Source organism: Homo sapiens, chromosome 1 (assembly GCF_000001405.40).
Source record: "Homo sapiens chromosome 1, GRCh38.p14 Primary Assembly".
NCBI classification, from domain to species: domain Eukaryota; kingdom Metazoa; phylum Chordata; class Mammalia; order Primates; family Hominidae; genus Homo; species Homo sapiens.
The window spans coordinates 206,470,476-206,497,914 of record NC_000001.11 but is presented as its reverse complement, the minus strand read 5'-3'; the positions used below and the strand labels follow the sequence as shown (position 1 = coordinate 206,497,914).

Sequence of the window (27,439 nt, the reverse complement as noted above, 5' to 3'; positions counted from 1 at the left end):
GACTTCCCTGAAGGGCCACTCATGGGCTGGAAGTGTTGGCCAGAAATTCAGGCCAGCAGAGTGGACGAGAGGTGGTCTAGTACCCAGGAACATCAAGGCGGCAGCTGGTCTCTGAGGCCCCAGGACTTGAACCCCTGGGCTTAAGTGACTCCACGGGCTTGAGGCCCAAATAACAAACACAAAGCCACTTGGACCTGATGCAAGGAAACAACCTCCAGCCACCTTCCCCCAGGCCTTTAGAGTGCTGGTCTTTGCACAGAGAAGCACCACAGAGGACAGAAGCCTCCAGGACTCACCCTTCCCCATTTCTGGCCCTACCAGGTGAGTAGAGTGGCCTCAGGATGTGGGGGCTCCCATGAAGATGGACAGGAAGGATCTCTGGGGTTATTTCCAGTCAAGCATAATGCTGTCTTCACGCTTCGAAGCACACAGTGGGGCTTCCCACTCGTCTCTCTCTCCTACTGGGGCTACCTTACTGCATTTCCCCTTCCCCTTCCTTCACCCACCCAGGTAGGTGGGTAGTCCAGCTCTGGTTTATGGGAAGGCTGGAGGTAAATTTGCAAGCAGTTTGCAAAAGTCAGAATGCCTTGCCCAGGCACCACTCTAGATTCTAGACAAAATGAAGGAATGCTTAAAATAACCCATAATACTATTCAAACCCACTATTTAGGACATAGCCTAGGTTTTGAATAGCTGTGGAGATGGGAAAAAAGCAGTAGCCACTTAGATGGTGGGTTTGAAGGAAAAAAAAAAAGAAGAATACCTTTCTCCCTAAGTTCCAGGCCCCTCACACAGCTTTCCAAATGATGCGGGGGCAAGAGAATGGAAGGAATGGGAAGGCACCCCTTGGGTTCTTCCTTGAAATTAGGGCCCATTTAGGGGAAAGGCAGAAATCAGGACATGACCAATTCCCACCCCCATTTCCCAGCACTTCTCACAGATCCCCGCCCAGACCCCACTTGGTTGCCAAGCACACCCAGCTGAGAGCCCTGCCTTGCAGACACAGCCCAGGGAGAGCCACCAGAAACAGAAGCAAAGGCCACATTTATTCCACTTCTTGAAGGTGCAGGCCTTGGACCTGCCCAGACTCACAGTCCTGGCTGCATGTCCCAGGACCAGCTGGAGCCTCAGAGAGTGAGGGAGAGCCAAAGGGGCCCCAAGACACTGGCACTGGCCTTGGCCACCCATTTTCTCAACTTTAGGCTCAGTCAGACCAAGCATAGAAAGAACAGGAGGCTCTCTATGTTGCCTGAGGCTGGCAGTGGTGACCCTCAGAAATCACAAGGGAGCGGAGAGAGCTGTGTTCAACATGAAACGCTTGAAGAGGAAGGAAGACTGTGATGAGGTCGTTTGACCTACTGCCCTGGGGAAACCCCAGGAGGCCTCCTCTCCTGTTGGCTAGGGAGTGAAGTCCTATAAACCAGAGGGAGTGGGAAGGCGTATGAGAGCTTCTTCTCCCCACGGCCCAGCCATGGGCATGGAGGAGCAGTACCTGAGCCTAGAGAAGATAGAAAGGTCAGCCAGGCAGTTGCTGCCACACTCTTTCCTGTGGGTCCCAACAGAGGTGGCCTGGTGCCCAGTCTCAGCTGTGCTGCTTCCCAGGGAGAAAGGCAGTGGAAGGTAATGCTGGCGACATCCTGGCCAGCAGCCAGGAGGGAGGTAGGCTGATGTGATGGGATGGGATCTTGCCCTGGGTTGGTCTCATGGTGCAGAAGAGCAGTGTTGGAATCATTCTAATGCTTCAGGATGCCTCATGTGCCCCATGGAGCTCAGACATCAGGAGGTGCTGGGACTCTATTTAGCCTACAAGAAAAGGTACAGGCTAGCAGTGCCCACCTGTTGGAGAGGCCTGCAGACCACACTCCAGGGCCCAGCACAATTAGCTTTCAAGAACACTGAGCCATTCAAGTCCTCAGCTCTCCCCTTGTAGCACCCTCACTCCCCGACAAGAACCCACTGGCTCTCGCCTCTGACTATATGTTGGAATCACTTGGAAAGCTCATGCAAATCCTAACCACAAGCTGTACCCAGAGTCTCTGGGGCAAGACCCAGGCATTTGTACGTTTAAAAGCTCCCCTGGTGATTCCAGTGTGTAGCCAAGGTTTAGGAGGGGAAAGGAGTTTAAATGGATTCATTTGGCTCTTTGGCTACAGCTCTGAATAAGGAAGTGAAAATTCACTAAAATAAAGTTTTGAGCTATCTGCAAATAGATGACATATCACAGCAAGAGCAATTTTTGTTGGCACTAAAATTAGAACTTCCTGACCAAGAGGGCTGTTTTGGAAAATCCTTCCAAGAAGCTGTCAAATGTCCTCTTTGTGGGTGTTTAAGAGGATGAGTTCTCTTGCTGGAACAGGACAGGGAGGAGATTCCTCCCTTACCCAAGGACCCTCTGAAACTCTGGGGACAAACCACAAGCTCTGCTCCTGGTTTCCCTACCTCCTGGCCCCAATTCTAGTGTGAGACTGGAGTGGCCTCTGGGGAAGAAGTAACATTTAGTGAGCCCTTCCCTCCACACCCCCCTATGCGCAAGCACCTTGCATATCTCATTTTTTTAAATCCCTATGTCAACACCATGAGGTAGAAATTATTACTCCTGTTTCACAGGGGAGGGAACTGAAGCTCAAAGCTGAACACACCTCCCAGGGTCACGCAGTTGGTAAAAAGCAGGGTCAGGATTGAAATCCTGTAGGAACCTCTGCTGACTCTACCCTGCCATTGGTTCTCAGACAGGAAAATGACAGACACGAGGATGACAGGCAGGAGTGGGAGATGCGTGCACGTGTGTACATGTATATAAACAGGGCCGCTGGCCTTCAGGGCAAGCAAGGACCATCCTTTATCCTGAGGTTATCTCTCTTTGGTGGTAAAATGTGTTTTATAAAGTAGGGTTACTAGATGACAGGGCTTTTTTTTTTTTTTTTTTTTACTTCAAATGTGCTTACTTGGTTATGTGAGCAGCTGGTAACTCTGTTGTTCTCGAGTTTTCTTTTAGAACTATACTGGTACGTAGCCGGGCGCAGTGGTTCATGTCTGTAATCCCAGCACTTTGGGAGGCCAAGGCAGGCAGATCATCTGAGACCAGGAGTTTGAGACCAGCCTGGCCAAGATGGTGAAACCCTGTCTCTACTAAAAATATAAAAATTAACTGCGTGTGGTGGTGGACACCTGTAATCCTGGCTACTCAGGAGGCTGAGGCAGGAGAATTGCTTGAACCCAGGAGATGGAGGTTGCAGTGAGCCGACACAGTACCACTGCACTCCAGCCTGGGTGACAGAGTGAGACTCCGTCTCAAAAAAAAAAAAAAAAAAAAAAAAAAAAAGAAAGAACTTTTACTGGTATGCAAAATCTCAATCTCAGAGTCGGAGCCCTGTTGCGTTCCCACACCAACCTCTCATGACCCCTCAGCACCCCAAGGAGGGGAGTCAAATCAGGAGATGATCCTGCAGCCCCGGGCTGGCCCATGAGCATTGGCAGGAGGGACGGGAGCCCCACAAGGCCAGAGAAACACCGGCCTTGGGCATCGTATCCAAGGTGTCTGCGCTGTGGCTTCCTGGGGTAGCACATGGGGATGAAAACAGCACCTATCCTGAGGATGGCTGTGATTCAAGGAGGCATCTGGGGCAGCTTGAGCACAGAGTACATATGGAGTGCAGAGCTGGACACAGGCACAAACCCCATGCCTCCAGGCCCCCATCTCCCTGACAGCATGGAGGCTCACATTTTAAAGGCTGTAAGTGAACCCTACACCTCCTGAGGATGTCAACTCATTTGTGGAAAATGCCTAAGCTTCAACAGGGCTTCTTCGAAAATGGACACGTGTCATCAAACCTGCATGGGCAGGCTTGGGGACTCTTCACCACCCCCAGGCAAGGGTAGCTTGAAGACCCGGCCCTGACCTACACAAGGTGAAAGCTCCTTACCGTTCGATGATGCGGTTGTTGTCCAGGAGGTCAGATGCCAGCAGCTTCATCCCCTCGCAGAGCTCTTGCATGCTGCCCAAGGCAGAGGCAGGAGAGGCGGCTGAGGCTGGAAGTTGCCCTGCCCAGACCCTTTTCCTGGGAGGCCCACCCTCCTCTGCAGCCCCACCAAAGAAGCCTCTTTATTCTTTTTTGTTTGCTTATTTGAGACGGAGTCTTGCTCCTTTGCCCAGGCTGGAGTGCAGTGGCATAATCTTGGCTCACTGCAACCTCTGCCTCCTGGATTCAAGCAATTCTTATGCCTCAGCCTCCCAAGTAGCTGAGATTACAGGTGCCTGCCACCACACCCGGCTAAATTTTGTATTTTTACCAGAGATGGGGTTTCACCATGTTTGGCAGGTTGGTCTCCAACTTCTGGCCTCAAGTTGATCCGCTCACCTTGGCCTCTCAAAGTGCTGGGATTACAGGTGTGAGCCACCGCACCCAGCTAGTCTCTTTAATCTTGCCTCCTAGGCCTGGCATGACGCCAAACCCCTCAGGCTCTAACCTCAGCATACTCTGCTCCCTGCAACCCCCTTCCACACAGATACACAACCGCTTTCTCCCCAGCACTTACTGGAGAAGCAGGTCCTTTCGTGTAGGGCTGGGGTAAGGAGCTATGGGAGGCGGCGAGGCCTGAGCCCCCTTTGCTCGGTCCTGAAGGAGCTGGTGAGATAGCTCTTCCAGGAGCTGCAGGGAAGCCATACTTTGGTCAGCAATTAGTAGCCAGCTTATGTGTGGCTGGGTAGGGGGAGTGCTGGAGGAGGGGAAGACATGGGTAACAAGCGCCCCAGCCTGCATCCCCAGAGCACCTAGAATCCTTCTGCCATGCCCACCTTGCTGAGACTCTCCTGGACCCCCTGGGCTTCTGTGTTACAGGCAGCCACAGAACAGCCAACCAGGCGCAGGTGGTTCCTGGTCTCGTGCACCACCCTCAAGAGAACACACAGAGACTTAGAATTAGAGCAGGACTCAGCCCATTCCCCAGGGCTCGCCTAGCTGCCATCGGATCCACACATGGACACAGGTGGGTCCCGGGTATTTGCCTCCCTCGCTGCCTCTGCCCTGCCAGCTGTGCCCTCCACGCTTGCCCGCCCCACTGCAATAATGCAGAAGCACACAGCTGGCTGAGGCTGGGAGGCCCCCTTCAGAGCCGTAGTGTGGAGCACCAACAACATGCATGTGGCTGGGGCTGGGTGACGCATGCCACCTATGGTGAGCGTGGCACCAGTCAGGCTGCAGAGAGGCAGAGGATAGCCCACACCAGGGCTCTCAGTGTGGGGAACTGCCCACGCTCTCATTTCCAGTGTGAATTCTCTTCTATCTCTAAGTGGAGTGAAGGAACAGGAACATTTTCCCCAAGGCCCAGAGCTGTTAAATCAGGGGTTGGAGGTCAGCCCTCGCCACACATTAGAATCACCTGGAGAAGCTGTACTACACTGACATCCAAGCCCTGCTCCAGAGCAATTACACCAGAATGTGTGGTGGGTTGGAGTAGAAGAAGCAGGCATTGGTATTCTGATATGAGGACGGGTGAGTGCCAAGGTCTCAGCCCCATAACAAGGTGAGGTCCTACAGGCCTCAGAATGTGGTAGCACGTGGGAAATTGTCCTCTCTTCTCAGGAGGGGCCAGTGTTCACACAGGCAGGGGATGGAGAGTGGGCCTGATCTGAGAAGGCGGAACCCAAAACTCCTGAAGGGGACAGTGTGACAGAAGGTTCTACTTAAGGGCCACTGCCACTGTCCTTATCCCAGGGGCACCTAGTGTTCTCCTAAAGGAGACTTCTCAATATAACCAGGTGGAACGGTAGAAAGAATCCAGATTTGATTTGATTTTACCCCTCAAAAGCCCTGAAGAATCTAGATTGTAGAGGCAGGCAGAGCCACATACGAGTCTTGGGTCTGCCACTTACTAGCCATGTGATGTGCAGAGGAGACCTGTTCTCAGAGCCTCAGTTTCCTCACCTAGGAAATAGGGTGATGATATCTACTGTATAGGGCAGGTGTTGTAGGAGTAAATAAGCTGAGCTACAGAAATCTCCCAGCCAACTGCCTGGTCCACCCAGGGACAGAAAACCACTCCTCTGCTCACACCCCTTCACTCACTCCTCCCTCTGCCTCAGGGCTCCACAAAGCCCTGGGTCCTCTGAAGCCTAGAAGGGCCAGGCCAGGCCCTGGGCTCCAGGAGCTCAGGAGGGGCTGTTACCTCATCCTCTTGCCGTGTGTGACTAAGGACGCTTGATACTTCTGCACGCACTCCTCCTGGAACACCTGCAGGAGTCTTTTGGCTAAATGACTGAAATTCACCCTAGAACGACAGAGAACCAAGGTGCAGATGAGCTGCCAGAACCACTATGCACAAGCCCACCATCCCTCAGTCTCCGTCAGTCTCCGTCACCACCTTGTCGTAAGTGCCCAAGCCCTGCGTCCACAGCAGGGCTATGTCTCTGGGAAAGGAGGAAGGACGGTCACACACTTGGATTGTGAAGGTTGCAGTGGCCAGCAAAGCCCACATCAACAGGGAGACGTGGGAGACACACAGGGGGTCCTCAGGGAACACACATGTGCTCAAGCTTAGTCCTCAGGAAAGGGAAGGGAAAGTGAGGCAGCCGTGGAAAGAAGGTGTGTGAGTGCGTGTGTGTGTGAGACAAAAAGGGGTCGGGGTGCTTGTAGAACTGGGGGAGTGAGTTCCCAGATAACCATTAAATCAGGGAGGGCCTCCTGGACGTGAGTGTGTCCGGGAAACATGGGAGACAGAGGAGCGGGGGGAGGCAGGGAAGGTTCAGGCAGAGGGCAGAAGCAGGAAGTGGTAAGTGGTGCATCAGTGAGGACAACTAGAGAAAAAAAAAGCCTGCAAACAGTCTTGTCCATACCAGAAGTAAATCCAGTTACTTCAAGATTGCATCTGAGAAGTCTCCCTCCAACTAAGCTATGCATACTCCCTCCCCTGGCCCCAGATAACCTGTTATCCCCAACTCTGCTCAGCTGCAGTCCGGGACAGGGCCCTTCACTGCCTCTCCTCTGGCGTTGAGAATCGCTCTGCCCTGAGGACACCCACCCTCCTGCCCACCCACCTGCCGGAGGACAGGCCACTCACTTATCCAGCTTGTGAATCTGCTCCTCGTTGTAGCCAAGCCCTGGAGGAAACAGACAGAACAGATGTCACCTATTCAATCAGTCAACGAAACAGTGTGCAGCAAAGGTCGAGAGACAGTTAAAAGATGAAGACGGCCCAGCCTGTGCTGCTTCACGGGAACTCACCGCCCAGCGGAGCAGGAGGGGCAGAGGAGTGAAGCTAGCACCGGAATAGCTGATTAGGACAAAGCCAGGGCCTCAAGAAGCCATGGGGAAATTGTGTGAGGGCCCCAGGGGAAGGCAGCCTGCAGTGCAGGGCCGGGGTGGGGACGTGGGGGATGCTTCAGGTGGGAGTTGGTGGATGAAGTGGGCTTAGAAGGAGGCTCGGTCAACCATAGCCCCTTATCCAGCACCCTCCCAGAGTGACTGATGCCTGCAGCTGGGTGGTCCCATCCCTGAATGTTCATGGGCGCTACCTGCAACGAGCTGGAGAAATCAGGCCACCACCTTCTACCTCCCCGCTCTGCCCAGCCACTTTTGCCAGAAAGGCTGAAGCTTTCATGGCCTTGGCTGCCTCCTGAAGGGCCCTAAGGCTCATGCACTAGGGAGATGCTGCCCCCTCCTGGTCTTCGCAGGAATGGGCCTCCAGGGTGGCGGCAGCCCCAAGATGAAATGATGATGGCGGTTCACTTCGAGGGCCTCCCCATCCCACTCCTCTCATAGCAGAGTCCCCCTCCTGGGCCCTGCACTCGGCCAGCTAAGAGCATGTGTGCAGTCCGAGAGACCTGGGACAAACCTCAGCCCTTCCTCCTGTTGGCAGGCGGCACTAGGCGAGTGATTTCACTTCGCTGAGCCTGTCTCCTTATCCATCACAGGTGCCACTTGGGAGTCCCGTGAGGCTCATGCGAGAGAGCCTGAAGACCACCGGGCATTTTAAAAAATGGTATCTTTCAACACGCTGGGTTTTAACAGTTAGGGGTTCATTTTTAATTTTATTAAAGGACTCTTAAAGACCAATAGAAGTAAAACTCCTTTGAGGCTGTAAAATGGGATAGTTAAAAGCAGCTGGACCTAGATTACTTGGGCTACTTAACCTTTCTGTGTCTTGGTTTTCTCATCTATAAAATGGGGAGGGTAATGATGCCTAGAGGTTTTGTTATTGTTGTTGTTTGAGACAGGGTCTCGCTCTTGCCCTGGCTGGAGTGCTGCAGTGGTGTGATCTTAGCTCACTGCAGTCTCGAACTCCCAGCTCCCAGGCTCAGGTGATCCTCCCACCTCAGCCTCCCAAGTAGTTAGGACTACAGGCGCATGCCCACGTCCAGCTAGTTTTGTTTATTTTTTGTAGAGACGGGGTCTTGCTATGTTGCCCAGGCTGGTCTTGAACTCCTGGGCCCAAGTGATCCTCCCGCTTCAGTTTTCCAAAGTGCTGAGATTACAGACATGAGCCACTGCACACAGCTCCATGTATGTGTGTGTGTGTATATATATATATATATATATATATATATATACACACACACACACACACACACACATATACACACATATATAAAATTTAGTTTCCCAATAGAGATGTGTTATAAATGTTATATATATGTGAATAATATATATATGAATAATATATATATGTGAATAATATATATATGAATTATATATATATATGTGAAATATAAAACAATGAAGTGATGGGAAAGCATCCTGTAGTCCCAGCTAGTCAGGAGCCTGAGATGGGAGGATGGCTTGAGCCCAGGAGGTTGAGGCGACAGTGAGCAGTGATCATGCCATTGTACTCCTGCCTGGGTGACAAAGGCCCTGTCTCAAATATATATATTAGCATGTAATCAATATAAACAGAATTGCTAAGGAAATAAGTTATATATTTATGTGTATATATACACGTGGGATTTTGAAGATAACACAAAAAGAATATAAGGTATTTCCTTAGTGATTTTGTTTATATTGATTACACGCTAAAATGACACTGGATATATTGGGTTGAATAACACATTAAAATTAATTTCACTTGTTTCTTTCTACTTTTTAAAAATTGGCTACTAGAAGACTTAGAATTACATACGTGTCTGGCATTATATTTCTATTGGACAGTGGTTTTTAGATAATCCCAAGGAGAGAAGAGAATTTGGCAATAAAGCCCAAGACCTTCAGCCTACAGATTAGGAAATGCTTGGGGCCTGGGAGAGGAGGGGGAGGTTTGGTTCCTGGTGTGTTAGTTCCCCAACCTGAGGAGTCAACTGGAGCCTCCGCAGGCTCCCTCCAACCCCCTCACCAGCCCTCCCTGGGTCCCACCCTTGCACTACCCCACAATGGCAGTCACTTTGGACAAGCAGCTTCCCACCCCCGAGCCTGTAAATGGGCTGCCCCTGCCACAGCATCCTTGTGAGGATTAATGGATCAAGCAGCCAAAATGCCTGACCCAGTGACTCAAAATGGGACTTCTCCTGACCCCCCCTTTTCTGGAAAACCTGACTGTCTCAGTGTCCCAAGGACACAACGGATAGTGACATTCTATACTTTAAAGTGCCCTGCCAAGGTGCGAGATCTCTTTCCAGGACCACCTCTCCTACAGCACCCAGGTCCCGGCCCACTGGATCCCCCAACCATGTGATCCAAGTCTCTCATGTGGCAACAGGCAGGCATGTAAAGGTTTCATGTCCCCCACTGGCCTGCAGGCAGCTTGCAGACAGGGGCCTTGCCCCTAGAGCAGCTGCACAGAACCATCCGCTTAGTGGGCCTCCAAGAACCACCAGCTGGAGGTTAGCGGCCACTTAGCTGGAGGTTAGTGGCCACTGGTAGCACCAGTGAAAAGGAAGAAAGGCGAAAGAAGGGAGACAGAGGAGAGAGAAGGGGCATCTGCCCTCCCCGGGCTCACCTGGCCTCATCCTAGACTTCTTGAACTGTTTGTAGATGAAGTTCATCTTGTCCAAACAGCACTGAATCTGCTGGATGCTGTGGGCAGGAGACAGGGACCAGGTGTTGGAAGAATCTAATAGCACAGAGGAAAGAGGGAGGGAGGGGAAGGGTGGCAGTGGAATAGGGGAGGAGCCTCACAGCCACAGTTTTGGGGGATCAGTCTGGGAGTGGAGGTGGCTGTCCCGTCTCTAGGCTTATTTGAGACCCCGTACAGTCAGCCAGCCGTCTCTCGTTCTCATGGCTTATTCTTCCTCTCTCACACACATGCACTCGCAGCATGAGTTAAGTAGGAGATAAGAGAGACAGGAAGCCAAGCAGGACGGGCAACAGGAACGTGGCCTTTACTACCTGAGAAGTTGTGAGACTAGGCCCTGGGAAGGAGCCTAGGCCCCTGAAACCTAAGAGCGTGTCTGGCAGTGACAGCTGGGGATAGAGGGGAGCTAAAATCTCTCTCTGGTCAACTGGAAAAAGCAGAAGAATATAGCTTCTTGGTTTACCCAATGTGTGGCACACAGCAGAAACTTAACATAAATAATGAATCAATAATCCTTATTGAAAACAAGAATGAATCAACAGGCCTCGGTCCTGCCCGGAGGCGGAGGAACTGGGGAGATGATCTCCCGAGGACTTTCTTGTTCTGGGGTTGAAGGTCATTATTATTTCTTCCTTCCCCTTTTCAGGCTGGAAACAAACACTTTGTTTGAGAAGTCGGGAGTGTCTGGGAAAAGTTCTTCCTCACCCACAGGCCTATGTAGCTCCACTTCCTCCCTGCAGCACCTCCAAGTGACCCCATCTCTGCTATTTCTGGAGCTTGACTCTGAACAGAGCACAGGCTTGTTCCAGGGCTCTGCCAGCCGAAGGAGCCTGCCCCGCCAGGAACATGAGGGTGGAAGATGAAGTGGCTGGGACAGGCCTCAGATCCACAGCCTTCATCCAAAAGACAAGGCCTGGGATCCACAGCCTTCATCCAAAAGGACAGGGCTCAGATCTGCAGCCTTCATCCAAATGGATGGGGCCTTGATCCTCAGCCTTCATCCAAAAGGACAGGGCCTCAGATCTGCAGCCTTCATCCAAAAGGATGAGGCCTTGATCCTCAGCCTTCATCCAAAAGGACGGGGCCTCGATCCACAGCCTTCATCCAAAAGACAGGGCCTGGGATCCACAGCCTTCATCCAAAAGACAGGGCCTGGGATCCGCAGCCTTCATCCAAAAGGATGGGACCTCGATCCTCAGCCTTCATCCAAAAGGACAGGGCTCAGATCCACAGCCTTCATCCAAAAGACAGAGCCTGGGATCTGCAGCCTTCATCCAAAAGGATGGGGCCTCGATCCTCAGCCTTCATCCAAAAGACAGGGCCTGGGATCCTCAGCCTTCATCCAAAAGGACAGGGCCTCAGATCTGCAGCCTTCATCCAAAAGGATGGGGCCTTGATCCTCAGCCTTCATCCAAAAGGATGGGGCCTCGATCCACAGCCTTCATCCAAAAGACAGGGCCTGGGATCCGCAGCCTTCATCCAAAAGGACAGGACCTCGATCCTCAGCCTTCATCCAAAAGGACAGGGCCTCAGATCTGCAGCCTTCATCCAAAAGGACAGGGCCTCAGATCTGCAGCCTTCATCCAAAAGGACGGGGCCTCAGATCTGCAGCCTTCATCCAAAAGGACGGGGCCAAATGTGCTCTGAATTGAGAATCGTCTTCTGATATCAGAAAGGCAATTTGGTACCCACACAGTGTATTGTGGAATGGCCCGAGCAGGGCATCAACTCCTAATCAAACACATTCACATCTCCAAAGAACCACAAGAACATTCACCGTAAGTGGGATAAATTCTATAAAGAGCCTCATTCGATTTAGGTCAGGTTTTATGGCCAAAACAGTTAAGAAAAACTCCTGTGGTGTTCAGAGCTGTTTGAATTTAGAATTGAGGCCATGGGATGATGGATGGGGATAGGCCCAGATTACAGTAGGCACCAGCAGAGAATGGGGAGGAGGTCCGCGCTGGGTACCACCCATCCCCTGGTCAGAAGCGGCAAGGTAGGCAGCGGCTCCCCACAGTCAGCTGGGGCCTGGGGGAGGGGGGTATTTTTATGTCTGTTAAAAGGGAGAGTGGTGCCTTAAAGGTTGTAAACCCCTGCCTGGCATAGGCCAAGAACATAGGCTTTGGAGGTGGACAGACCCGACCTGAAGCCACCTCTGTCATTTGTCATTTACTGGCTGTGACTCAGGGTAAGTTAACCTCACTGACTGAGGTTCTATAAAAAGGGCATTATCATAGCATCATTATTGTTTTCAGGATTCAACGAGATGCTGTACGTGAGAGGACCTACCCAAGGGCCTGACACAGAGAAAGGGAACTAAAGTCTTCTTTTATTCAGAATTATAGCACCTGCTAAGATTCCCGAGGCATTCCTCAAACTCCAAGATGGGTGCAGGACCCCAGATCCTTTTCTCCTCCTGGCTGGTGTCTGGGGCAGTCGGGGGGTTCTTGTTTATTGCTGGATCTCCCTCTACTCCCCCATGCCCTAGCACCCTTGCCAAGAGAAAGGGGAATGCAAGCTGACGTCTAAAAGGCTAAAGGTTACTGGACCTTTGGAGCTGCCCACTCCCCCACTCCCACCCCACAAAGAAGGAAAATCCCACAGACCTTCTGTCCTCATGTACCTGATCCCGGCTCTTCACCAGCTCCCGGTTCAGGCTGCTCAGGCTCTCCTGGGTCTCCGTGATATTTTGGGAGCATCTGGAGAGGACCTCCGCTAGCTGTGGGGCACAAAGGCAGACCCCCGTGGGGTCTTCAGCCTGGGCACTGGTGGGCAGGCTGGCTGGAACACGGGCCCCCAGCTCTGATCCTGCTAAGCCCTTGCCCTCCAGCCTCACTCACAGTCCGCAGCCTGGACCTCAGTTCTGCAGCCGCCTTCAGTTCCTGGATCTCAGGCGTTCCAGCCACGCTGCTGAACCTTGAGGGAAGCAAAGAGAAAGGCCACATTTGGGGGCTTAGGAGCAGCCAAGGTGGGAGGCAGAGAGCTCTGTTGGCACATGCTGGGCATAGCATCTGTGGGACAGCCTTGGTGGCTCTCCGGGTCTCTGGGAAGTTTTGTGTTTGGGACAGAGGCGCCATCCTGACGAGGGCCCTGCTTACCCAAGTTGTGACATTGTTGAGTATTGCAAATAATAAAGGTTGAGACAGATTGTAACACCTTGAGTCTATGAAAATTCACGGGCCCATGATGCAAGGCTGCTATTAATGATCTCCTTACCAGGAAACTTTGTAACTAAAGGGAAAGAATTAAGTTCCTGTCCAGTAGAAACTGTATTTCTTGATAACCAATAGCTTTCTGATGAGGGAAAAGCTATATTTTGTAGACTACTAGGCAATGATATATCAGAAGTTAGAACATTATCATCTTGCTGCCCAGTGAAATCGTTCTCTGGGGCATAGCCTTACAAGCAATGATGGTTGATAATGGGGTGGGCATTTGCACGGTGACAAGGTCACACCACTCTGCTTCTTTCTTCTACAGGGACAATGTAACGGTACAGCAGAGGAATCAGGCCATCACCAGCCAGTGGTATGTCAACATACAATACCCGGCATCATCAATAATGTATTCTAGCAAAAAATGTTCAACTGGAATCCATCTAGCCTTGTGCACTCCCAGTTTAGGCCTGGCACAGTGGTTCATGCCTGTAATCCCAGCACTTTGGGAGGCAGAAGTGGGAGGATTGCTTGATACCAGGAGTTTGAGATCAGCCTGGGAAACACAGTGAGACCCTGTCTCTACAAAAATAATAATACAATACAATACAATACAATACAATACAATACAATACAATACAATACAATACAATACAATACAAAATAAAAGCCAGGCATGGTGGCTCACACCGGTAATACCAGCACTTTGGGAGGCCAAGGTGGGAGAATTGCTTGAGGTCAGGAGTTCAAGACCAGCCTGGCCAACACAGTGAGACCCTGCCTTGAAAAAAAAGAAAAGAAATAAAATAAAATACTAAAAAAAAATTTTTAAAACTTCCCAGTTTACAGGAAATGCTGAGAAAGAAGGACAAGACAAACAACTTCAAGGGGAAGCTCTAGATGAGTCCAGAAGGTGGGACAGCAGATGTGATCCCCAAAACAGGTTATAAAACAGCAAATACACTATCATTTCATGTTGGTTAATGTTTACTCATAGTAGAAAAATATCTAGAAGGATGTGTACTCCTAAGGTGTGATAACCTGTCTCTAGATAGTAGGTTATGGGATTTTAATTTTCTTATTTTTGCTTATCTCTGTTTTCTAACTTTCTACCATTAGTATATACATTTTAGTAACAATCATGATTTTTAAAAAGTATGCTGTGTATTTTGGCTTGGGAATGGAGGAGCAGGGAAGGAGAGGGGAGCTGAGCAAAGAGAGAATCAGGAATGAACTGCAGGCTCCTTGAAGACAGGGGTGCCGTCGCTTTGCTCCTCGTACGTCTCGTGCCTAGCAACGTGTTCGGCACATGGTAGTCCGTCAGTGCACGGATGCTGAAGGCGTTACTGAGTGCACAAATGGATTTTAAGGCATGGGAAATTTGACGGCAGAAGAGGGTGAGGCTGGACCCAATACATCTCCACAGGGAGTCAGGAGACATGGGTTCGAGTCCTAGTCCTGGCATTTGCTATCTGCATGACCTTGGGTTAGTCCTTTAGCTCTCCAGGCCTCAGGCTCTTCACCTATAAAACGAGGAGACAAATTTCCTTCCTGCGACACAATAAGATATTCATAGGGATCAAAAGGGACCTTGGAGATGAAGTCTTGCCTGGAATGTCTTGCCTGGTGGCGGGGCTGGGGGAAGCCCTAGGATTCCCAAAGCCCGTCCTGGCTGCCTGAGCAGTGCCTGTGGATGGCAGCAGCTGCCCAGGAGGGCCAGGGAGCTTTGGGACAAAGGCAAGGTTGCTCTACCAAAGGACCTGTCCTGGGGAACCTGAGGCAGGATATGCACACTGGGGGAGAGGTGGGTCACCAGGATGGGCAAAGGTGGGCCACTTGGCATGAGGTGCTGGGTTCCTCCAGTGTGACATTCAGCTCATGAAAATACCTGGTTCCACTGCGGGTGGAGCTAGTGTCTTCAGCCCTTAGGAGAATCTACAGGTCTGGGGATGTTCAGGCAAGAATGGGCTTGCAACATGTGGGAGCTGGGAGGCCGCAGAGATCATGCAACCCTCTCATTTTGAAAATGAGGACACAGAGGCCCAGGTAGGGGAAGGTGACAATGGGCTGGAGCCACACCCAGACTAAGAGAAGAGGCTGCACCTGGCCCTCTGGCTCCCTGCTCACAACTGTTTTTGCTCACCATCCTCCTCCTTGATGGGAGGCTGAAATAGGCTTCAAAGCAGGCACTTGCCTGACCCCAGCTCTCTAGACACACCACGGAGGCCACCTTGGAGGAGGCTGCAGAGCCAGAACAGGGGAACAGCAGCCAGCGGACACCAGGATGCCAGGACGCCAGACCCAGGCCAGCGTGCCATTCCCCACCATGCCTGTCCATCCAGGGCAAGTGGGCAGACAGACACCCAAAAAGCTTTCCCAAACACATCTTTCCAGGTCAAGAATCTACAATGGCTCTCTACTGGTTGTTTTATTGGGGTCCAACCTCTCTCTAGCTGGACTCCTTCAGGGCCTCTATGCCTTCTTTCCTCCCCTCCTCACCTCCACCTCTGTCCGCCTCTGGCTTAGCTCTGGGCTATCTGCCATCATGACTGTGGCTTCAGTAAGCCTCCCCAGCATCCCCTCCTTTCCCCCGAACAGGGCCCTTTTCTTCTCTGTCTCTGCGCAGACCTTCCTGCCTGAGGTATTCTTCTTCTTTCTGGCCTTAAAAGCCTCATCCTAGGCCGGGCGCGGTGGCTCACGCCTGTAATCCCAGCACTTTGGGAGGCTGAGGCAGGCAGATCACGAGGTCAGGAGATCGAGACCATCCCGGCTAAAACGGTGAAACCCCGTCTCTACTAAAAATACAAAAAATTAGCCGGGCGTAGTGGCGGGCACCTGTAGTCCCAGCTACTTGGGAGGCTGAGGCAGGAGAATGGCGTGAACCCGGGAGGCGGAGCTTGCAGTGAGCCGAGATCGCGCCACTGCACTCCAGCCTGGGCGACAGAGCGAGGCTCCGTCTCAAAAAAAAAAAAAAAAAAAAAAAAAAAAAAAGCCTCATCCTTCAGGAAGGCCTCCGTGGTTGCCTCTACCCATCTCAGGTCTCCTCTTACCCAACAATCCCATCAGCCCTCACATGTCCAGGAAGGGCTAGCTGCTCCGGAGGAAGCATGGGCCTCTCTGAATGACAGGATGCCACATCTACCCCTGGAGCCCCCTCTGTGCCCTGGACAGAGCTCTGCTCAAAGGAGATTCACTTGCAGTTCTGCTGACTGAACCCTACTCTCTGTCACCATTTGAGAGGGGCTCAGTCTGGATGGAGACTCCATCCCTGTTATCTGGAGATGCTCCTCTTCCTCCTCCCTGCTCCTCCACCTCCCAGCTGCCCCATCAACTGAGTTGCTGCTGCGAAGCAGGAGGCACGCGGGGCTGCATGAGTCAGCCCACAGCTGGGAAACTCCCTGGAGCTCCCTGAGGACAAGGGCTGGGGGTGGCGGGAGGAGGGGGCCTTCAGGCATATGGGCAGTCTCTGATCTTCTGTTCCCAAAGACTCCTGTCACCAGTGGCATCCCTAGGCTGCAGAGCTCCCACCCTCACCCGTACCATGGCCTCGTGCCTTCCAGGATTTGGGGTGCTGTGCCTACTTCTCAATCGTGCTCTGGCCAATGAAGTCTTCCCACATTCCCCATCTCCAGACCCTTCCACTTGGCTTCCTCCTGCCCGGTCTCTCTCTTTTTCCAACCCATCCCCCCTTATTAGCCCAAGACAAGGGAGTGGAGGGAGTGGGGTTCCAAAGATTGGGGCAGGGAACCCAAGGAAGGCAAGGATAAGTTGAAGACTCAGAGAAAGCAGGAGATGAGGCATGGAGAACGAGACCACCTGGATCTCCATCCCTGGTCACATCCAGGAACTGTGCGTGGGTGTGTGTCCTCCCCCTAGAGTTCTGCTGGCACTTGGCATAGGGTGAGCACTCTAAATCATTCAGAGAAGGACTTGGCAGGACACAAGCCCCTTCTTGGGATAGGGAGGCCACCTTGGTACCTGGAGAGTCTGTGCCCCCATGGGCCCCTTCCCCTGCAGGTGAGGGACTGGGTTTTGGGGGAGCCATTGCAGTTATTTGGTGAGGTGGGGATAAGGGATAGGGTGCGGGTGCCCTCTATTCTAGGAGGGCAGGGAAGGCAGTAGCCCTGGCTTGGGGGAGAAGAGGTGCATTGTTGGAAGTATCTAGGGTGAGGAGCAGACAAGGCAGGGCTGAGAGGTCCCAGCTGGCCTGAGGCGAACACCCACCTCTCAGTTCCCAGGCTGCTGCTGAGGTAGAGGAGGGATGTCCTTGCCACTTCCAGAGTCCGTCTGCATGTGGCCTGGAGCACCTCCCTGTCCAAGGGGAGACTGAGTCAGAGCTGCCTTGATCGGGGGACTCAGCACCGTGCATGCAGACAGCATCCCAGGATACTGGCCTCCACCTCCTGCCGGCCTCCCCCTCTGGCCTGCCTCCCCCTCCGGCCTGCCTCCACCTACAGCCCGCCTCCCCCTCCAGCCCGCCTCCCCCTCTCTGCCCACCTCCCTCTCCTGCCCACCCCCTCCTCCTGCTCACCTCCACTTCCTGCCCACCCCCCACCCATCTCCCCTTCCTGCCCACTCCCCCTCCTGTCCGCCTCCCTCTCCTGCCCGCCTCCCCCTCTGTGCCCAGCCCTCATGATTACTCACATGACCCAGTGCAGCCCCCGAAACATTAGCTCCTGCCCATCCAGCAGGGCCCGTGCCAGCCGCAGGGCCTGGTAGCCGGCGCCCAACACGCCCTGAAACACAGAGATGCACAGGGCCAGGTCCCACACCTCCTACCCTTGGGTCATGCCCCTCCCTGCCACCTGGGGGTTGCCCCTCACCTTGGCAGTGTTGTAATCCGCCTGCAGGTCCACTTTGGGGACGAACTTGGGGACGTCCAGAGCAGCTGCAGACAAAGACCCTGTCTGAGGGGCCTGCCTGTATGGTGCTGGGTCGGCTTATCTTTCATTATTTCCAGCTCACACTCACCCCTCACTGCCAATCTCCCACCTCAGGCTTCACAACTCACCCTGAGCCTCCCACCTTGCCAGCCTTAGCCACACTTAAAGTTGTGATCCCTCACTGCCACCTTGCGGCCACTTTTGAGAACTACCTCCTCATGTCCAAGAGCTGAAAATGGACTAAATCACCCTCTTGTCCACAGGTTTTGAGGTGAATACCCCTTCCTAGCCTCAGAGAAAGAGGATAAAACTTGCACTGTTCAAGTGAGAAGAAAGGACATTTTTGCTAGAGTTTGGAGAGAGGCCCAAGCTCTGGACCCCGACCCCCTTCCCTTCTTTCCAGGAGCTCAGACTTGGGCTTCTTCCAACACAAACTGCCTGAGGCTTCCCCACAAATCAGAGATTATGGAAAGTGCATTAAATCCAGATCTCCCTGTTTCCACTGGAGCTCTTTCCACAGCTCTGAGGATGCCAGTAAGCCCCAGGGAGGTCAAGCCACCAGCCCACGTCATGTGGCATCTCAGAGGCGTCTGCAGAATTAGAACCCACATCTGCCTCCTGCTCCCTGTGGCCCCAAAGAAACACCCACAAAGAAAAGTAACCAATGGCCTGGATTGCAAACTCCTGTCTCAGAGGAAAATGTGGGGAGGAGAAAGATCCAGCCCAGGTGGCTCTACTCACGGTCCCTGAAGGCCAGCCCCTTAGGGATGGCTGTGCTGAAGAGGGTCAGGGGGCTGCTTGCCGTCGTGTGGGCGATGTGCTGTGCTGAGACGCTGGGCTCGAGGACACAGAGGTGACCCTCAAAGAGGTACTCCTGGTGTCGGGGGGCCACACTGGTCTGCTTGTGCACGGCCTCCTGGAAAATGGCTATCCTAGACACAGCCGTGGTGGGGAGCAGAGGGCAGGGGGTGTCAGTAGGCAAGGCAGGGGGCTAGGGTGACCTAAGCCCCAGCTAAGCGTTGCCCATAGACAGGGCTCTGTTTTGCAGAGGGAGGGACGGGGGTGGTTTTCTCTGTCATCAAGGGTGGAGAGACCAAGGGGAGAGTTCACATCTTATAGTGATGGAGACAGAGTGGGAACAGGTCCCAGGAGTCCTAATACCCAGCCTTTGCCTCTGCACCTCTTCCTGTCACACTGCCATTAAAATTTACCTAGTTCTATAAAATTATCCAGGAATCAAGGGTACTATGAGCAGTACCTTTACGAAATGTACAGCCAACATACACCACGCACACACTTCTCAGATGTATAATGCATATTAGCATTAGAAAAGGTACTGACTCTCTGAAGTACATGCAAGAAAACCTGTTTAGCTTTAACTTTGTAGAACTAGTCTTTTCCCAACTACGTTTGGACCTGGAAGCGTTCCTATGTACACACTCCTCAGAACGTACTGTGGGAGATGCTGCTTTGGACATGCACTGCTGCTTGGGTAGAGAAGGTTCTCACCGCTTCCCTCCCTCGCCCCCACTTACGTGTTGTGGGCATGGATATAGATGTGGTGCAGGACTGCCTGGGACAGGGAGAAGACATGGACGACAACTCGCTGCAGGATGTCACTGGTCTCCGCAAAGAACTGGTCGAAGCCCCAGCACTTGGCCTGCTCCACCTCCAGGATGTTGGCCAGGATGGGCACCAGCTGGCTCTGCAGCCCCCTGCCCTCCCAGGACATGGAGACTGTCAGGGGTGGGGGCCCAGACCTATCCTCCTTAAGCAGGCAATAGGAGCGTTCTAAGAGAATATCCTGAAGAGCTAGGACCAAGATGGTGGGGCAGGGTGGGTTGGGGAGGAAGAGCTGGAAGAACTCGTTCCAGCAACCAGATGGGAAAGTGGTGTGCCCAAGCCTGCAGCATGCCCGGAACCTGCTGGAACAGGCCTCAGAAGTCTTGACTTAGCAGAGAGAAGTGACACCCAGCTCAGACTCCAGCATCACCCCCCAGCAGGGTCCCACTCACAGTGACAGCTGGCAGGTGATGGGGAGGGTGTAGCTCCACTCCAGGGGCCCGTTCTCCCGCCTCTGGGCACCTGCAATGGCCCCAGCCGGCTTCTCCGTGGTGATCCGGTACCTGCGGGGAGGAAGGCCAGGTCAGCGGGATCCCCAGCTATCACATTGCCGGGCAACGACACACTCAGCACAAAGGGCTCGGAGCACAGGTTCAAGTCACCCAGCTACCCCAAAGTAGCCTGACAGATGGAGTGTGAGAAACCTGGCTCTCAGCTGTGAGAGCGCCTTGCCTCAGCACTCCTCCTGGAGCCCTTTGCTTCAGGTAGAGACACCTTTGCCCTGTCCACTGCCTCTCCCCCCGCTACACTTCCCTCAGCCTGGCCAGCCTCCTCCACACCTTTGCCCATGCTATGCATGGCCCCAGTATCCTCTCCTCTTTCTTTCCCTTCAGAGTCCAGCCTTCCCTGACAACCCCCATCCATGCTGGTCTTCTGCCCCTTTTGCGGGCCTGATATAGGTTCCACACAGCTGGACCCCGGGGCTGAGGTGGGTGCAGCAACCTTCCCACTAAGCCAGCTGACATCTCCTCTGCTCTGGGCTGTGCACTCAGAGGGAGCCGCTACTGTCTCCAGCCACTTGCTACTTCCCTGTCCGATGGCACAAAACCATGGAAAGACCTTGGACCTGGGAACAGGAAGCTGCCACCTTTGCCCCTGGTGAGCTCTTCCACCTTAGGCAAGGCACTCTTTGAGCTTCGGTTGAGACGAGGAGAGCAGTAAGGGAGCAGAGGGCTAGAGTGAAGCACCGAACTAACATAGAGCATATTCACAGACTCCCATCAGCCCTGGGCAGAGCTCAGCTGCTTGTTTGATCCCATTAACAAAAAAAGATCTACAAAGAGCCTGGGTTGGGGGGTGGACCAGAGGAGGGCCATGGAGTGTGAGGGGACCAGAAGACACAGCAAGGACCGGTGGGGGAAGGGCCAGGGGACTGCCAGTCCGCCCCATTCCCTGCCCTGTGGCCCACCGTACATGATCTCCTTGTTCCGCCGTGGCCCACCAAAGGGGATGAAGGGCAGGCTGCCAGTGGCTGCATGGTACAAGGTCACTCCAATGCTCCAGAGATCCACAGTCACCCCGAACGCTTTTTGCTGGGGCTTTCGAAGCACCGCCCGCTCATACATGTCGGGATGCTGCCGGAGAGAACCAGAATGAGGCCATGGAGCCGGAGGGCTGGCAAGGGCCTGAGACCTGTCAGACCCCCTTTCACCGCCTGCAGGTGAAAACAGAACTGTTCAAATCCTTCTTTGTCATCTTAAAAATGGGTGTCAGCCTCACCTTTTCCATCTTAGAGAACAGAATGCATTCTTCTGGTTGGGGTACAGGGGAGAGACATAACTCCTGTGGAAGCAGGAGGTGGGCCACACCCCCTCATGGGGGCTCTGGGGGGCTCACAAGGCAAGGGGAGCCCTCAGCATAGGGCAGCGGGTCTCGAGCAGCTCACCCACCAGGTACTCCTCAGTCCCATAGACCGAGACGAACTTCTCATCATCATCCAGCTCCCGGGCAGCGCCGAAGTCTGTCAGCTTGTAGATGCTCTGCCCCTCCTCCCCTACGAGGCGCATGATGTTCCCCGGCTTGATGTCGCGATGCACAATGCCGTTCTCCCGCAGGTGGTTCATGCCGGCCACTGGGGACAGACGGGGAGGCCACTAGCTGGCTCTGGTCGGGGACAGTCTAGTGTCTGAGGCTCATCTTGGTGGGAAGGCTGTCCTTGCATCCAGAGAGACAGGAGTTCCCATGGGCTGACAGAGCCATGGGACAGGCAGAAGGACAGAGACATGCATGGGGCTTAGGGGGCATCTCAAGGACACTAGGGTATGGAGGTACCATCTGGATTCTCTAGGAAACCAAGATGGGTGGTGGCTCTGTGTCCTCAAGGGCAGCACCCCTCTTTGTATTACTTCTTTTGATTAGGTGTTCAATTGTGGTAAAATATGCATAACGAAATTTCCCATTTTAACCAATTTTAAGTGTACACTTCATTGGCACTAAGCACACCCACGCTGCTGTGCCACCATCACACCATCCATCTTAGAACTTTTCTCATTCTCCAATTTTTTTTTTTTTTTTGGAGACAGAGTCTCACTCTGACACATAGGCTGGAGTACAGTGGTGCAATCTCAGCTCACTGCAATCTCTGCCTCCCAGGTTCAATCGATTCTCATGCCTCAGCCTCCCAAGTGGCTGGAACTACAGGCATGCACCACCACACCCAGCTAATTTTTGTATTTTTTTAGTAGAGACAGGGTTTCACCGTGTTCGCCAGACTGGTCTCAAACCCCCAACCTCAAATGATCCGCCCACTTGGGCCTCCCAAAGTGCTGGGATTACAGGCATGAGCCACTGCACCCGGCCTCATTCTTCAAACTTGAAACCATACTTATTAAACAACTCCTCATTCTCCTCTGCCCCCAGCCACTGGAAACCACCATGGTACTTTCTGTTTCTATGAATGTATGAGTGGAATCATACAGGATTTGTCCTTCTGTGTCTGGCTTTTTTCACTTAACATAATGTCATCAAGGTCCATCCATGTTGTAGCAGGTGTCAGAATTTCTTTCCTTTTAAGACTGAATAATATTCTATTTTAGGTACCTCCCACATTTTGTTTTCACAGTTAGGATGTTTCCACCTTTTGGCTATTGTAAATAATGCTGCTGTGAACATTGGTGTACAATCTTTTTTAGGTTTAATTTTTAAGTTGGAATTTTAAATGGAATGATTAGCAGGAGTCAGACACCTGAGTCCTGTCAGCATCTGTCCCAGGCCTGCCGCTGGTCTGAGGGTGGAGGCAGGGACAGGGAGGGGCTCACCCACACAGCGCAGCACCACCAGGAACTCATCCTCAGGCAGCCCAAAGGCATTCTCAGGGCTCTCCAGCACACTCAGCAGGCTCCCACTGGAGCAGTACTCCATCACCAGTACCTTCTGCCGGCTTCCGCCCTATGGGTGGGACAGAGAGGGGCTCATGAGGACGGCACTTCTCCTCCCCACCCACCAGGAAGAAGTGGCTCAGCCTGGAGCCCAGAGCCCCCATTCTCCAGGTCCCAGCTTCTGGCCTGGCCTTCCCTCCTTGGCCTCACACTGATCCCGCACACTGGAATCCAAAGTCAGTTATTCCAGGAAGCCCTCTGCTTAGGTACTGATTCTGTCCATCGTTCCTTTCCAGTGCACCGCCCCCACCCCCTTGCCCCCTTTGCTCCCTTCTGCAATTTGCCTGCTGTCTCTGACCTGCTGATGAGCATGGGACCAAATCTCTGTTATCATGTGGCCTGATTCTCCCCAGACCATAAGGGTCAAGGACAAGACCATTCTCTGACCAAGCACCGGACCTACCGTCTCCTCCACCGCAAAGAGCTTGACAATGTTCTGGTGGTTCAGCTTCCGCAGGACCTCAAACTCCCTCACCTGCACCTCGCGGGGCCGCAGGTAGCTGGTAGTGTTGAAGACCTTCACAGCAACCAGCTCTCCGGATTTCTGCCATTGGGGAGGGAGCAGTGGGAGACAGCATGGGATTAGCACATGTCCCACTCCCACAGGGGAGCAGCCACCCTCTCCTGGGCCTCCATTCAGCCTCTCCGGCCAGCCCAACCCCAGAGATTAGCCTGGTTGGATGGGGGCTCCCATCCGCACCGCCTTTCCCTCTCAAGGGGTAGAGAGTCCAGCACTGGGAGGTGACAAGATCCTGACACTCTGATCTTCTGCAGGGGATGGCTTGTTGTCATTATTACAATTGCTATTGACAATCATCACAGGGCAGCTAACACTCCCTGGGGTTAGCAGCAGGGAAGGGATTGGAACCTGGTCTGTATGGCTCCAATTCTTTTTTTTTTTTTTTTTTTTTTTTGAGACGGAGCCTCGCTCTGTCACCCAGGCTGGAGTGCAGTGTCAAGATCTCAGCTCACTGCAACCTCTGCCTCCCAGGTTCAAGCGATTCTCTGCCTCAGCCTCCTGAGTAGCTGGGATTACAGGTGCACGCCACCATGCCCAGCTAATTTTTGTATTTTTAGTAGAGACAGGGTTTCACCATCTTGACCAGGATGGTCTCGATCTCCTGACCTCGTGATCTGCCCACCTCGGCCTCCCAAAGTGCTGGGATTACAGGCATAAGCCACCGTGCCCGGCCGGCTACCACTCTTGAATAAGACAGAGTGGATATCATCTCATACATTCTCGCAGGATAAATCCAAACAAGGCCTAATTCCCCACTCTGCTATTCCTAGATTCCATTTGCTGTTACCTTCCTCGGATGTTTGCCTTGTTACTTCACAGTTCTCTTGCTCCAACTCGTGCCCGACAGAGGCATCCTCTCAAGGAGCCGTTTTCAGCTCCCTATGCCTCTGCTCAAACCCACAGTATGAGTGTGCTACACAACATCCAGAGGTCCCTGTCCCACCACCCTCAATGCCCACTGGGGGCTGACTGGGCCAGCTTCTGAGGCATGAGGGGGCCAAGGCTGGGCTGGACAGGGCCTGGCCAGGGTTGCTTCCTACCTTGTTGCGGGCCTTGTACACACTGGCAGTGGCCCCCTGCCCCAGCAGGTCATCTGTGTGCCACAGGTAATTGGCTGTGCTCTGCATCTCCTGCCCTGAGCTGGCTGGTCACCTTCTGCCTAGAGAAAGAGCATGCTGGGGGCCCAGGATTCCATTCCTGGCACAGGGTGGCCGCTGGTGGCCTGACCTGTAACTGTGCCCCAAGGCTACCCTAAGAAGGGCTCCATGTGGCCATTCCACAAGCAAGGGAGCGGGGGAAGTGTGAAGCACAGAAAGGTTAAGTAACTTCCCCAAAAGGACGCACAGCACAACAAGAGGGCCCCCACTGAGCCCTCAGCCCACAGCCGGCACCTGTTCCACCTGCTGCCTGTCCTGGCTCCCCACGTTCCCTTGAAGCCCCTCCTGAGGCAGGTCATTCTGCAGAGACAAACCTCTTGTCTCTACCACCTCTCCCCAGCACTGAAGATTCTGGGGTTTTGGCATCCAGGCTTGAGATTGTCCCAGGAAACAGAAACAGTATAGGAGGAAGGGCCCAGGGTCAGGGAGCATCTCCCACACCACCACAAATCTCCAGGATTGCAACATGAGTCCAGAGCCACTCCCCCAGCCCCCGCTGGCCTGCCTGCCAGGCCCACCACTTCCTGCTGCTGTGAGCTGACAGCCGGGCCAGTACTGCTCCAAGAGAGATGGGGCTGCTTCAGAGTGTGTGTGTGTGTGTGTGTGTGTGAGAGTGTGTGTGTGTGTATGTGTGTAGGGCGTTGGGGAGAAGGGTGTGGGTGTGTGTGTGAGAGCAGGGTATAGGGGAGGCAAAATTCATCATTCAGCCATTGGGAGAATCTGAAACCCCCTACAACTCTGTTTCCCATCTTTGTCCTCATCTTTTCCCCAAAGCCTAGTTCTCCTAAAGCAATTAGTACCAGAAAGTGTATCCTCAGAAGTTAAACTCAATTTCTCTTTGAAAAATAAGGCCAGTGCTGGCCTTTTTGGGATACCTGGGGACAGAAGCATTAGAAGGGCCACCATCCTTTAAATACTTTCTTTTTCCTTTTTCTTTTTTTTATTTTGACGTAAGGTCTCACTCTGTCATCCAGGCTGGGGTGCAGTGGTACAATCATGACTCACTGCAACCTCCACCCCCTGGGCTCAAGCAATCCTCCCAACTCAGCCTCCTGAGGAGCTTAGGACCATAGGTGTGCACCACCACACCTGGCTGTCTTTTGTATTTTTAGTAGAGATGGGTTTTTGCCATGTTGCCCAGGCTGGTCTTGAACTCCTGAGCTCAGGCAATCCGGCCACATGGGCTTCCCCAAAAAATTGCTGGGATTACAGGTGTGAGCCACCATGCCTGGCCACTTAAATACTTTTAAATAACGCTAGACTAGAAAAGGCATCTTCGTGTTCTAACATCTTACAGGTTCTCAAACTGAGGGTTGCCATGCCTGGAATCCTATGTTCCTTCGCTCTGAACTTTTTCTCTGTGTAATCTTTTTTAAAAATGCAAATCCTTGATAATGTCATTTCATTGAGCCAGAGGCCCCTTGAAGAGATCGGTGGTCAACTCCTAGTTTCAGATCAGGTAGGAGCGGACATTACACAGAAGCAACTGAGGTACTGAGAGGCTTCCTGAAGACAACACAGTAGCTCAGCATGAATGAGTGGGTCTGGTTTTCCCCGCTGAGGCTGGAGGCAGCCAGCAGGTCTGGGGGCTGGGGCTGGGGTTGGAGCACAGCAGGCTGAAATCAAGGCCAAGGGCTCTGATACTGGGGCAAGGAACAGCTCAGGACTCTGGGATAATAGGCAGTGAGGTGCAAAGCGCAGACCCCCAGACAAGCGGTGTGCCCCTGGATTCTGTGCCCGGGAGCTCTGGTTGTGGCACATCTGGCTTAACTCTGCACGCTCTGCAGATCCTCCCCCCACCACCCCAAGCACCTGGTGCAAAGAAGGGCTCAGTGGCCCTCAGCCAGTGGTTGGATGAATGAGCAGTGGACAGTGAAGCATGTGAGACACCACCCACCCACCTCTCCCCTCCCCTCCCTCCTCAGGGCTCTGCTGTGGCCAAGTGCACTTACCCCACACTCTGAGCTGCCCTGAGTCAGGCAAAGGCTCTTCCTGGCGAGTGTATGTTATGCTTTCTGTCTGTGGCACGTCCAGGAGCTGAGCTACACCGGAAAGAGGAGGGCGGATGAGAGGCGCCCCTCAGTGCAGTTGCTTCTCAGCCTCCATCAAAGGCCGCCGGCCCTAGCCCTTTAACCCTTTCCTGTTTGTCACCTTCCCCCACAGGGCTGGGCTGGGGGTTTCCAGCTCTATTCCCAAACTGTTCAGGGAGCCTTTCCCAGCGTCTCCTACTCCTGAGACTCCGGCCAGGGAGAAAGACCCCGGGAAAGGTGAGGGCAGGCGCTGGGTGCTGATCGCTGGCTTTGGGTGTTGGTAAGCAGAGCCCAGGGAGGGCTTGTGGTTGGCCCGTGGTGGCTCACCTCCATGCCACACACAACGCTCTATGTGAGAGCACCGCTGCCAACAAGCCCACACCCCTGCACCCGGCTGAGCTGCCCTGCAGCTGCCCCTTGTCTGGCCCCTCATTCCACCCCCACCCCCCTCCGCACGCTGCACACTCACCCCATCTCCACTGCAGGGGATGCAGGCTTGTGGGACTGGGTGACACCCCCAGAGCTTTCAGGGCTCACTGTCATTCATGAGCAGTGTTCTTAGCCTCCTGGTAGCCAAGGGCCCCTAGGACCCACAGGCAGGGCCAGTTGCAATGTCTGTGCCACCCCAGGAGCTGGGACTAGTGGGTTTCTTCCCTGCCTCCTTGTGGCGGTGGGACACCAAGCTCAGCACT

The 27,439-nt window shown here is 53.3% G+C and overlaps 1 protein-coding gene, 1 long non-coding RNA gene and 1 other non-coding gene across 8 annotated transcripts, besides 2 other annotated features; 1 reads left to right on the top strand and 2 right to left on the bottom strand.

Moving 5' to 3' along the window:
- Positions 93-242: an enhancer, noted in NCBI's record as "active region_2401". NCBI's record gives its function as "activates an Ori minimal core promoter by ATAC-STARR-seq in GM12878 lymphoblastoid cells {active_cell/tissue: GM12878}" and the evidence as "EXISTENCE:reporter gene assay evidence [ECO:0000049][PMID:35858748]".
- IKBKE-AS1 (IKBKE antisense RNA 1) lies at positions 187-6,799 on the top strand. Its single transcript, NR_172918.1, has 2 exons — positions 187-321; positions 4,839-6,799. It is a non-coding gene; the product is annotated as an IKBKE antisense RNA 1 (long non-coding RNA).
- IKBKE (inhibitor of nuclear factor kappa B kinase subunit epsilon) lies at positions 1,026-27,439 on the bottom strand. Of its 6 annotated transcripts, none has more exons than NM_014002.4 (22): positions 27,217-27,439; positions 26,670-26,759; positions 24,601-24,719; positions 23,444-23,584; positions 22,921-23,050; positions 21,553-21,734; positions 21,077-21,237; positions 20,056-20,166; positions 19,576-19,755; positions 18,782-18,972; positions 17,981-18,045; positions 17,802-17,893; positions 17,382-17,468; positions 12,843-12,918; positions 12,609-12,721; positions 9,925-10,001; positions 7,057-7,096; positions 6,166-6,267; positions 4,796-4,892; positions 4,537-4,649; positions 3,924-3,995; positions 1,026-1,803 (listed from the first exon to the last, which is right to left on the bottom strand). In NM_014002.4, the coding sequence occupies exons 3-22, from the start codon at positions 24,685-24,687 to the stop codon at positions 1,770-1,772; spliced, it is 2,151 nt and encodes a 716-aa protein (NP_054721.1). In that variant the 5' UTR covers positions 24,688-24,719; positions 26,670-26,759; positions 27,217-27,439; the 3' UTR covers positions 1,026-1,769. The 6 variants fall into 6 exon arrangements, with proteins under 6 accessions (NP_054721.1, XP_005273413.1, NP_001180251.1 ...); XM_005273356.3 differs by having other exon boundaries at positions 24,601-24,715; NM_001193322.2 differs by lacking the exon at positions 4,537-4,649.
- Positions 23,051-23,112, bottom strand: MIR6769B (microRNA 6769b). The gene has a single exon (NR_106919.1). It is a non-coding gene; the product is annotated as a microRNA 6769b (primary transcript).
- Positions 24,863-24,922: an enhancer, noted in NCBI's record as "active region_2400". NCBI's record gives its function as "activates an Ori minimal core promoter by ATAC-STARR-seq in GM12878 lymphoblastoid cells {active_cell/tissue: GM12878}" and the evidence as "EXISTENCE:reporter gene assay evidence [ECO:0000049][PMID:35858748]".

Excerpts from the sequence above, each read along its gene's own strand:
- IKBKE (NM_014002.4), bottom strand. The coding sequence starts at position 24,687 with ATGCAGAGCACAGCCAATTACCTGTGGCACACAGATGACCTGCTGGGG. Across the intron at positions 4,893-6,165 it reads ACACACGGCAAGAGGATGAG|GGTGGTGCACGAGACCAGGA; the intron begins GTAACAGCCCCT and ends TGTTCTCTTGAG. Across the intron at positions 1,804-3,923 it reads AACAACCGCATCATCGAACG|GCTAAATAGAGTCCCAGCAC; the intron begins GTAAGGAGCTTT and ends CTTTTCTTGTAG.